The sequence below is a fragment of the Homo sapiens genome, chromosome 21, assembly GCF_000001405.40.
Source record: "Homo sapiens chromosome 21, GRCh38.p14 Primary Assembly".
Lineage (NCBI taxonomy): Eukaryota > Metazoa > Chordata > Mammalia > Primates > Hominidae > Homo > Homo sapiens.
This window is the reverse complement of record NC_000021.9, coordinates 17,615,168-17,627,364: the sequence shown is the minus strand read 5'-3', so window position 1 is coordinate 17,627,364 and position 12,197 is coordinate 17,615,168. Positions and strand designations below refer to the sequence as shown.

Here is a 12,197-nt window from a genome sequence, read left to right as displayed (position 1 = left end):
TTTTTTTCGAGGTGAAGTTTTGCTCTTGTTGCCCAGGCTGGAGTGCAATGGTGTAATCTCGGCTCACCGCAACCTCCGCCTCCTAGGTTCAAGTGATTCTCTTGCCTCAGCCTCCTGAGTAGTGGGGATTACAGGCATGAGCCACCACGCCTGGCTAATTTTGTATTTTTAGTAGAGATGGGGTTTCTGCATGTTGGTCAGGCTGGTCTCGAACTCCCAACCTCAGGTGATCTGCCCGCCTTGGCCTCCCAAAGTGCTGGGATTACAGGCATGAGACACTGCACCTGGCCTACTCCAGTTCTTAAAATGCCTTACCCCTTGCTTGTAGCCAGTCCAAATTCTCTCACGGGATAGTGGAGAAAGCACAAAGTTTGAAGTTAGGAAACTTTCCTTCTTGTCTCTTTCAATACCACCGTGTTGTGTGACATGGGGCAATTGTGTCAATTACTCTTCTGGAACTCAATTTCTTTACCTATATGATAATGGGGGAAAACAAAAGGGTTGTAAGTTCTTTCTCAACTAAAACAATATTATGGCTTCTTTACCTTTCAGCACAGCTTTTGTCATTAATTCAACAAACAGTTCTTGAGTGCTTTTTATGAGCAATAAACACCTGCTCTATGAAGCCAGCCTTAACACCCACTACCCCATTCCCAGCAGCTGCACTTGCTGACTCAAGTGCGCTGATTGTCTGTGCCACTCATTATTTATGTTATTTTTATGCCATAGCATCTTAAATATAGCATTAGCTTCTTATCAGCAGGGACTTATGCTTCTGCATATCCTTGACAGATAAAGTTGTCAGGCTTTGAAAAGTATAACCTGAGAAACTTGCTAAAAAAAATGCTGATTCCTTGGGAAACTTTTCATCAAGTAAGAAATAAAGAAAAAAAAAATGTTGATTCCCAAGTCTCCCATCTACCCCCTTCTAATTCTGATTGAGTAATTGGTAATTTACATGGTAATAAATACCATTATCACCACCCCATGGTTCAGATTCAGATGGTCCAGGAACCAATTTTGAGAAAAAACTGCTCTGCAGTATATAGCACATTTTCTTGCTTACATTTAGCATGTGCTCAAAAATTATTTTTTTAAAAAACCTGTCTTAATTCCAAGGGGATAGGTATGTTTGCATTGACAAATATCTAAAACAGAAAATGGCTCATGAGAAATGGGTAACTCTAAAATAGTCTGTCCGTATATGAAAAATAATGCCCATGAAGAAAGAAAAGGGGGAAATGCATAGGAAACCGAAAAGACTGCATAAGGTAGACCAGCTGCAAATGAAAAAGTCACTGGCTGAAACCCATAACAATGGGGAAGGGAAGGCTAAATGTCAAAAATGGGCTAATGGTTCTCAAAAAGCTGTTTTGCTAAGTTCAGAGAAAGTCTTCAGACTCCCGCTCAGTGCAGATGGAGGCAAAAATAAAATCTTCAGAATCTCATTTTGTTTCATTCTTTATTCCAAGAAAAGCAACCTTAAGTAAAAAAGAACAGAGCTAACATCCTAAGGTGAGGAGTTAAAGAAAAAGAAGAAATAGTAACTCTGAGGGGATTGATATCTCCGGTGCTAGAATCATCTGTAGATTTAAGGTATGCTGTTGATAATTAAACGAGGAAATGTATAAGAGAAATATCAGGAATTTGCAAATGGTATATGTCCTGATTTTGAAAGAAGATGAAAAGTGATTTGAAAACTACAGACTTGATCTCGAGCTCTTTAAAGATTTTAGCACAGATTAATAAAAAGTTTATCAGCAATTAGAGATGAAAGAGATGAACACTTTGAGCTAGTTTAGGTATACCAAGGACAGTAATGCCAAACTACTTCTTTTCTTTTTTAAAATTAATATATCAATTATATATCACAGTTGTACATATTTTGGGGTACGTCATTATTTTGATACATATATAAAATGTGTAATGATCAAATCGGTAATTGGGATATTTATCACCTCAAACACTTTTCTTTGTGTTGGCAACATTAGAATTCTCCTTTTCTATGTATTTTGAAATCTGCAATAAATTTTTTTCTTTCAGAGCTTCAGGAGATACCTATAGAAGTTGCTATAATGACCTCAGCAAGGCATTTGACAAACTAATGGTATTCCTATGAATAAGTTTAAAAAAAAAAAATAGTTCCTTAGGTAAAATTCACACTTCGTGGACTCATGTTTTTGCCCAAACATGATTAATGCAGTGGGGCCTCTGGGGCTTTTTTGGTGATTCAACAAATATTTATTGAACATTTTACCAAGTACAAGAAACAGGTCTAGGTAGGGCAAATCCAGGAGTGAATAAATCAAAGTTTCTGCTCCCAAAGGTCTTAGTAGAGGGAGACATATAATAGATACACAAATATATTCTGTCAGATAGTGGTTAGAGAAAGAAAACAAAAAGCAGGTTAAGGGGTAAAAAAAAGTGTAATGGGGGATGTTTCTTTTACAGGCTGGTCAGAAAGGCTGATAGGATCTGGTGATACCTGGGCAAGGACCTGCTGTGTAATGAGCTTCGTAATTAACCGGGGGAACAATATTCCAGGTAGCAGGACAGCAAGCATATGGGCCCAGAGATGGAAGCATGCGTGGCTAAGAGACCATATGGTAGGCAGATAGTGGTGCCCCAAAGATGTCCATGCCCACATGCCTGGCACCTGTCAATTTGTTACATTATGTGGCAAAGAAATTGCAGACGGAAATGGCATTTCAGACCTTAAGATAAAGAGATTATCCTAGATTATCCAGGTGGGTCCAATAGAGTCACATGAGCCCTTAAAAGCAAAAAACTTTTTCTGGCTGCAGCAAGAGAGATTCAGCAGAAGGGAAAAATCAGAGAGATTCCAAACATGAGGATAGCATGCACTGTTTCTGGCTCTGAGATATGGGGACCCATGAGCAAGGATTGTCCTCTGGGAGATAAGGGTGGGCCCTAGCTGACACCAGTGACGAAACAGGGACCTCAGTCCTGCAGACTGAAGGCACTGGATTCTACCAACACAGGAAACAGCCAAGACAGTTCAGACCTCCAAACTACAGAACTGTGAGATAATAAATTTATGTTGCTTTAAGCTGCTAAGTGTGTGGCAATTTGTGGTCATTTGTTGTGGAAGTAATAGAAAACTAATACTGTGAGACTTGATTGAAATGGGAGGTGAGTATAGCAGGAGATGAAGCAAGAGAGGGAGAAAGCATGGGCTGGGGGAGGTAAGGAAATGAGGGGTCAGCTACTGTGGGGCTTAGTAGAACATTGTGAGACCTTTGTCTTTTACTGTGGGTGAAATGGGGAGCCTATGGGGGTTTGGGGCAGAGGCATGACACGATCAGCCTTACACGATAAAAGGATCACTGTGAACTACCCTGTGTAGAATGCAATTAGACAAATGTTGCCATCATTCATGCAACAGCTTGAACTAGGGAAATTACAATGGACATAGGAATGGTCAGATTCTGGATATGTTGGGTTGAACCATTTAAAACTGCTACTTGAGTGTCTCAAAAAGAATTGAAAATTAGGTTGAATCAAGAGGATTTGCTCAGGGATAGCTTATGGGGTGTTGGGGAAAGAGGGGTGTCATTGTTGACTCCAAAATTTTTGGTCCCAGCCATGGAGAAAAAAGACATAATGAGATAACAAAGAGGAGTGGCAAGTTTAGTGGGAGTTGTGGGACAAGGGCAAACAAGGGTTTATCTTGGGACATGTTATGTATGAAATGCCTATCAGCTATCCAAGTGGAGATGTCCATCACATTGTTAGATACACAAGTTTGAAGTTCAGAGGATTATCAAGAGCTGGAATGATTAATTAGGGAGTCCTCTCACACAGGCAGTACTCAAAACCATGGGGTGAGTTCAAACACAGAGGAAATGAATGTAAAGAGAGGAGTGATGCTGCCTCGGGGCTTAATTGTTTTCGAAAGTCTCTCTTACATTAAATTTTTTTTTTCTGATTTGTGAATACAAACATATCAGTAAGCACACACACCAAAATATTGTTAAAACATTTAGTTATGTATTTAATGAATTATCTGTCTATAAGATAATAAAATCGAATTAAAAAATACATCAAAGAAATAAAGGGTCCAGAATAAATAAATACTTCCAAAATAAAGAGTCATCACTTTGGCTGGGTGTAGTGGCTCACACCTGTAAATCTCAGTACTTTGAGAGGCCAAGGTGGGTGGATGGCTTGAGCCCAGGAGTTCAGGAACAGCCTGGGCAACATGGTGAAACCCCATCTCTATAAAAAAATACAAAAATTAGCTGCGCATGATGGCACATGCATGTTGTCCCAGCTACTCAGGAGGCTGAGGTGGGAGGATTGCTTGAGGTGGGTGACACAGCAAGACCCTGTCTCAAAAAAAAAGAGTCATCACTTAATTTTAGATATTCCAAATTAAACAGATTATATACTTGAGGATCCCCAGTGAAATTAGCATAAGCTACACACCCATATTGAAGGACTAGTGAATATATTCTCCCAATAGTTGTTGCTCTGAAACATTTTAGTGTCTTAGAATGGTGCACCTTTTTATATTATATTTATGTTGAACATTCAGTGAGAAGAATTATTCTCTCCTATTCGTTCTTCAGCTCCATGATAGTTCAATATTTACAAGTCTACAATTACAAACAAAAACAAAACAAAATAGAGTCACCAATCTAACAACTTCGTTCTACTCTCCTTCTATACATAATACCTCCATTGTGTTTTGGTTGTTGCTAATGATACACATCATAGTTTATTAGTTATTTCCTTCTGGAAAAAAAACCAGTTATTTGTGAGCACATCAAGCTAGGATAAAAACACTGACAAAAATGTTCTGTCATAAATCTCTTTTCATGCCCCCCTGAAATAAAGCATATACATATATGCATTATATATAGGTATAGACATGTCTTTTTGTATCACAAAAAGAGTTAGCTGTAACTTCCTACAAGGTAAAGAAAAACCTGACCTGCTGCCATTACCTCCTAAAGCAACTTTTATAAGCACATCATTACAAAATATTTTGCCAACCACATCACAAACATTATTAATATACTAACTACAGTCCAGGTTTTGAGCTCCTCCTGGGCTGGGGTGGGGTGGGAACAAGCTCTTTACGGTAACATTTTATTGGGTCATCTGCTGACAAAGCAGAATTTTAAAAGCCTACCCGTAATCACCCTAATTAAGCCATCAAGTGTCAGGACTTGCTGTGTGAATCTGATTAATTCTAGCCATCTCTGTGGTGCAACTGATGTTGCCTGTATTAAAGGAGTGACTCTGCCTCAGAGGCAATTCCTTTATGTTTATGCCTTCTCCCTTTCTACCAGTCTGTATCAGAAAATTACAAAGAAGGTTTGCAATGATGCCCTCATAAGCCTGTGAAACTTCCTTTCAGCTGGGAGCCCAACCACATACAAACCCTTTTATATACCTACACCATTATTGTCTTTATACTTTTATGCGGTATTTAATTCATAATACAACTTGTAATGTGTAAAGTAGATTGCTCACATATGTCTTAGTCTGTTTGTGCTGCTACAACAAAATACTTGGAACTGGGTAATTTATGAATAACAGAAATTTATTTCTCACAGTTCTGGAGACTGGGAAGGCCAAGATCAAGTTGCCAGCAGGTTCTATTATCTGGTGAGAGATGCGTCCTCTAGAGAAGAGGAAGGATGTGTCCTCACATGGCTGAAGGCAAGTGGGATGAAGAGCCTCCATCAAGCCCTTTTATAAAGGCACCTAATCCTGTTCATGAGAGAGGAGCCCTCATGGCCTAATTACCTTCTAAAGGTCCCATCTCTTGGTACTGTTGATAGCATCAGCAACACCTGAATTTTGCAGGGGTCACATTAATTTATAGCAGTATCTTTGACTGTATTGTGAGCAATTTATTATTTCCTTTTGATCCTTTCTAATGTGTGCACTGTTCCCAATGCTCTAGCACAAATATTTGACATGGTTATGCTGCAGATGCTCCTGAAAACAGACATCCAATCCTCCTTCCCCCGTCCCCACCCCATCCTCACTACCACACAACTGACTGAAAAGAGCAAAGAAAAATAAAAGCAAGGTAATTTGTTTTCTTAATAAAAGCATGCTTTATGTGGTTCACTAGGGGATTTATGTTTTAAAACCTATTTATCATCATGCCTGTAAGAAAATGCTATTGAATGAAGGTTGTTGTGATGGTTGATTGTATGCGTCAACTTGGCTAAGCTATGGTGCCCACATCCAGATTGCTAGATGTGAATGTGCTTAATATTTATACTCAGTTGACTTTAAGTAAAGAAGATTATCCTGAATAATGTGGGTGGATATCAATCATTTGAACATTTTAAGAGCAAAAACTGAGGTTTTTTAGAGAAGAAATTCTGCCTCAAAACCATAACATAAAAATCTTGCCAGTGGATTTTGGGTTTAAGACTATAACTTCAACTCTTGCCTGAGTTACCAGCCTGCCAGCTTGCCCTGTAGATTTCGAACTTGCTAGCTCCCACAGTTGCATGAGCCAATTGTTTAAAATAAATCTCTCCTCTCTGTCTTTTTTCTTTTAAAATTATTTATTTATTTTCTCTCTGTGCCTCCTATTGGTTCTGACTCTAGAGGACCCTGATTAATAAAGTTGTATTTCAAGCAGTTTTTTTTTTACGTTATTTCTGAACCTTTTGCTAATTGAATGCTGGCATATCTAGCTTTATTGCCCTTCACTTAACTGGAACTTGCAGATATTGCATGTTTTTTTACAAATTGAAGATTTTGGCAATCTTGTGTCAAGCAAGTGTTTAAGCATCATTTTTCCAACAGCTTGTGATCACTTTGTGTCTCTGTGTCACATTTTGGTAATTCTCACAATACTTCAAACTTTTTCAAAATTAATATATCTGTTAAGGTGATTTGTGATCAGTGATCTTTGATGTTACTATTTTGATTGTTATGAGGTGCCATGAACCACACCCATACAAGACAGTTAACTTAATAGATAAATGTTACATGTGTTCTGACTGCTCTACTGACCTTTGCCATTCCACTGTCTCTCTCTCCTTGGGCTTCTCCATTTCTGAGACACAACAACATTGAAATTAGGCCAATTAATAACCCTACAATGGCCTCCAAATGTTCAAGTGAAAAAAAGAGTCACACATCTCTCATTTTAAATCAAGAGCTAGAGATGATTAAGTTTAGCGTGGATGGCAAAAGTCAGTCGAGACAGGCTGAAAGGTAGGGCTCTTGTGCCAACTCGTCAGCCAAGTTGTGAATACAAAAGAAAAGTTCTTGAAGGAAATTAAAAGTGCTGCTCCAGGGAATACATGAATGATAAGATAGCATGATATTGCTGATATGGAGAAAGTTTTAGTCTCTGGATGGAAGATCAAACCAGCCACAACATTCCCTTATGCCAAAGCCTAATCCAGAGCAAGCCCCTAACTCTCTTCAATTCTACCAAGGCTGAGAGAGGTGAGGCAGTTGCAGATGAAAAGTTGGAAGCTATCAGAGGTTGGTCCATGAGGTTTATGGAAAAAAGCCATCTCCATAACATAAAAGTGCAAGGCGAAGCAGTAAATGCTGATAGAGAAACTGAAGCAATTTATCCAGAAGATCTAGCTAAGAACATGGTTGAAGGTGACTACACTAAACAGCAGATTTTCAATGGAGACAAAGCAACCTTATAATGGAAGCAGACGCCATCTAGGCCTTCATAACTGGAGAGAAGTCAATGCCTCACTTCAGATCTTCAAAGTATAGCCTGAATCTCTCTCTTTTTTTTTTTTTTGAAACAGAGCCTTGCTCTGATGCCCAGGCTGCCAGACTGGAGTACAATGGCACCATCTTGGCTCACTGAAACCTCTGCCTCCCAGGCTCAAGCGATTCTCCTGCCTCAGCCCCCTGTGTAGCTGGGATTACAGGCATGCATCACCATGCCCAGCTAAATTTTGTATTTTAATTTTGTATTTTGTATTTTTAGTAGAGACAGGGTTTTGCCATGTTAGCCATGAACTCCTGTTGGTCTTGAACTCCTGGTCTTGAACTCCTTGAACGCCATGTGGGTCTTGAACTCCTGGTTTTACATGATCCACCCACCTCAACTTTCCAAAGTGTTGGGATTACAGGCTTGAGGCATTGCGCCCAGCCTGGCTAACTCTCTTAATAGGGGATAATGCAGCTGGTGACTTTAAGTTGAAGTCAGTGGTCATTTACCATTCTGAAAACCCTAGGGCCCTTAAGAATTATGCCAAATCTTCTCTGCTTATGTTCTAGAAATAAAACAACAAAGCCTAGATGACAGCACATCTGTTTACAGCATGGTTTACTGAATATTGTAAGCCTACTTAAGTGACTTATTGCTCAGAAAAAAATATTCCTCTTAAAATATTACTGCTCATTGACAATTTACCTAGTCACCCAAGAGCTCTGATGGATATCTACAAGGAGATTAGTGTTGTTTCATGCCCTCTAACACAACATCTATTGTGCAGCCCATGGATCAAGGGATAAGTTAGAATTTCAAGTCTTATTATTTAAGAAATACATTCATGGCCAGGAGTGGTGGCTCATGCTTGTAATCCTAGCACTTTGTGAGGCCAAGGCGGGTGGATCATGAAGTCAGGAGTTTGAGACCAGCCTGGCTAACATGGTGAAACCCTGTCTCTTCTAAAAATACAAAAATTAGCCGGGCGTGGTGGTGCATGCCTGTAATCCCAGCTACTTGGGAGGCTGAGGCCAGAGAATTGCTTTAACCAGGAGGCAAAGGTTGCAGTGAGCCAAGATTGTGTCATTGCACTCCAGCCTGGGCGACAGAGCAAGATTCCATCCCCGCCTCCAAAAAAAAAGAAAAGAAAAAGAAATATATTTATAAGGCTATAGCTGCCATAGGTAGTGATTTCTCTGATGGCTCTGAGCGAAGTAAATTGAAAACCTAGGGAAAGGATTTACTATTGTAGATGCCATTAGAAACATTCGCAATTCACAGGAGAAAGGTAAAATATCAACATTAATAGAAGTTTGGAAGAAGCCGATTCCAACTATCATGAATGACTTTGAGGGATTCAAGAATTCAGTGGAGGAAGTAACTGCAGATGGGGTAGAAATAGCAAGAGAATTAGAATTAGAAGTGGACCCTGAAGATGTGGCTGAATTGCTGTAATTTAATGATAAAATTTGAATGAATGAGGAGTGTCTCCTGTTGCCCAGGCTGAAGTGCAGTGCTGCGATCAAGGCTTACTGCAGCCTTTAACTCCTTGGACTCAAGCAATCCCTCCCAAGTTGCTAGGATTACAGGTGTGAGCCACGGTGCCTGGCTACAAAATGGTGTTTTGAGATAAAATCTACTCTTAGTGAAGATGCTACGAACATTGTTGAAATGACAACATAGAATTTAGAATATTACATAAACTTAGTGATAAAGCAGCAGCAGGGTTTGAGAAGATGGACTTGCATTTTGAAAGAAGTTCTACGGTGAGTAAAATGCTACCAAACAACATCACAAGCTACCAGAGAAATCTTTCATGAAAAGGAGAGTCAATCAATGGAGCAAACTTTATTACTGTCTTATTTTTTTTAATTGCCACAGCCACCCCGACCTTCATCACCCGCCACACTGATCAGTTAGCAGTCACCAGCATCGAGGCAAGACCTCAACCAGCAGAGAGATTAGGACTCCCTGAAGGCTCAGATGATCATTAGCATTTTTGGCAATAAAATATTTTTTAATTAAGTACTTTTTAGACACAATGCTACTGCACACTTAATAGACTACAAATAGTGTAAACATAACTTTAATAGGCACAGGAAATCAAAAAGTGTGTGACTTGCATTATTGCAATATTCACTTAATTGTGGTGGTTTGGAACTGAACTCGCAATATCTCCGAGGTATGCCGGAATACCTATATTCTTATTATATTCTTAATTTTGTTGCACTAAAATAAAGATAGGAGTTGTGCTCGCTTCGGCAGCACATATACTAAAATAAAGATAGGAGTTTATGCATTACTCACTAATAAAAGTCAGTTTCTCTGCTGGCATGGAGAATAGGAGAGTATTGCCAAACAACAACAACAACAACAACAATAATGGCACCTCTCCTGCCAAGCTGGGAAATTTTACTCCAGGGATTTCCAATATGAAGTTCTACCTAAGCATAGAGTGTCTGGCCCACTTGAGTGTCATAACTTATACATCACCCTAACCTAGTTCACATAAATCCTAACCAATTACCAAACAATAATATGAAAAGTTTGATCAAAGCATTTTCTTCTGAAAAAGATGAGCCAAGTTTGAGGCCTCTTTGAGGTAGGGAGGAAAGTTTCCACAGTTAATGCAACTCAAAATAGGAGGTTGGTGTGCCCAGTTTCCATTGCCTCATTCATCAAGAGAGTTTGTGTTTTGACTTTTGGAAGTCAGTTTTATGGCATGATGTAACGGAGAAAATAATGAAGATTGCAAATTTTCTTTATGCTTATACTTTAATCACTGCTGCTTTATGGATATTTAAGAAGCTAATGCAAGAGAAGTAGATTTAGTCTTTTTTAATTTAGTTACATGGCTAAGTTCTGGAAATTTTTGAAGAAATGTGTTGAAGTGTTCTTAAAATTATAGTCTCAGATCTTACTTGCTGGACCTCCAAAGGCCCCAGAAGGCTGCACACACTTTTCCTTGATGTTACATAGCATAATGTAACATATGCTATGTAACGTAACATCCTCTATGTTACATACCAGTTTCTCTACATAGCTAATGCAACTAACATAACACAAAATCCTCCATGTCCATTATAAAAGTGACTGTTTTGGCAGATCATGAGGTCAGGAGATCGAGACCATCCTAGGTAACACAGTGAAACCTTGTCTCTACTAAAAACACAAAAAATTAGCCGTGCATGGTGGTGGGCACCTGTAGTCCCAGCTACTCAGGAGGCTGAGGCAGGAGAATGGCGTGAACCTGGCAGGCGGAGCTTGCAGTGAGCCGAGATTGCACCACTGCACTCCAGCCTGGGCAACAGAGAAAGACTCTGTCTCAAAAAAAAAAAAAAAAAAGACTTTTGTATTCAGATTCAAACTTGACAAGTGAATTGAGAAGATGGTACCCAAGACTGTTTTTTTTTCCTTCTTTTCTTTTTTAGATAGTGTCTTGCTCTGTTGCTCAGGCTGGAGTGCAGAGCACGATGATCTCAGTTCACTGCAACCTCCACCTCCCAGGTTCAAGCCATTCTCCTGCCTCAGCCTCCTGAGCAGCTGGGATTACAGGAGCATGCCACCACACCTGGCTAATTTTTGTATTTTTAGTAGAGATGGGGTTTCACCATGTTGGCCAGGCTGGTCTCAAACTCCTGACCTCAGGTGATCCACCTGCCTCAGCCTCCCAAAGTTCTGGGATTACAGGCGTGAGCCACCACGACCCGCCGACTGTTTTGCTTTTAATGCTGAACTCTTGAGTTCAAAGGATTTTAAAGACTCACATATTTAGTGAAAATAAGTCCTAATTTTGAAAGCTATTTCACAGATTTTGTTGATTCTAAGTTGCATTCTCTGCAACTCTGAGACACAACCACAGGATGTGTGTGATGATTCCTGTGATTATAAAGCCCTAGACATATTAGAGTGGCTCATTTTCATAAGAAACCACTTGTGCTAAAAGCAAACTACACCATTAACACACAATAGAAGTGAATATCTTAAAGTTAGCTGTGAAATGGAAATACATATTAATGAGTATAGTAGTTCCCTCTTATCCCTGGTTTCATTTTCACCAGTTTTAGTTACCAGTGGTACAGTACAATAAGATATTTTGAGAGAGAGCGAGCATACATTCACATAACTTTTATTACAGTGTACTATAATAATTGTTCTGTTATTATAATTATTGTTAATCTCTTACTGTTCCTAATTTATAAATTATACATAGGGTTTGGTACCATGTGCAGTTTCAGACATCCACTGGGGATCCTGGAACATATCCTACCGTGGATAAGGGGGAACTACTGTAATTATTTACATCAGCTCTGCTCCTGTCTTATTCCAGGATGCTATAACAGAATACTATAGACTGTGTGGCTTAAACAACAGAAATTTCTCACAGTTTGGAGGTAGGGAAGTTAAAGATCAAGGTACCAGCAGATCCAGTGTCTGGTGAAGGTATGCTTTCTGGTTTGCTGTCTTCTCCCTATATCCTCACTTGGCAAGAGAGCAGACAGAGTGATCATCT

The 12,197-nt window shown here is 39.4% G+C and overlaps 1 protein-coding gene across 4 annotated transcripts in view; it reads right to left on the bottom strand.

Annotated features, from left to right (window-relative positions):
* Positions 1 to 12,197, bottom strand: part of CXADR (CXADR cell adhesion molecule) — a 123,220-nt gene that overhangs the window by 8,898 nt on the left and 102,125 nt on the right. Inside the window, exon 8 of one of the 4 annotated variants that reach the window (XR_001754814.2) lies at positions 316 to 472. The exons of 2 other annotated variants lie outside the window; for them this stretch is intronic. Coding sequence is in view for 1 of the 2 variants with exons in the window: in XM_011529479.2 (XP_011527781.1) it covers positions 469 to 472 (4 nt within the window). In the remaining variant the exon portion in view is untranslated. Of the gene's footprint in view, positions 1 to 315; positions 473 to 12,197 lie in introns of those variants that run through there. One more of the 4 variants, XM_011529479.2, reaches the window with a different exon arrangement.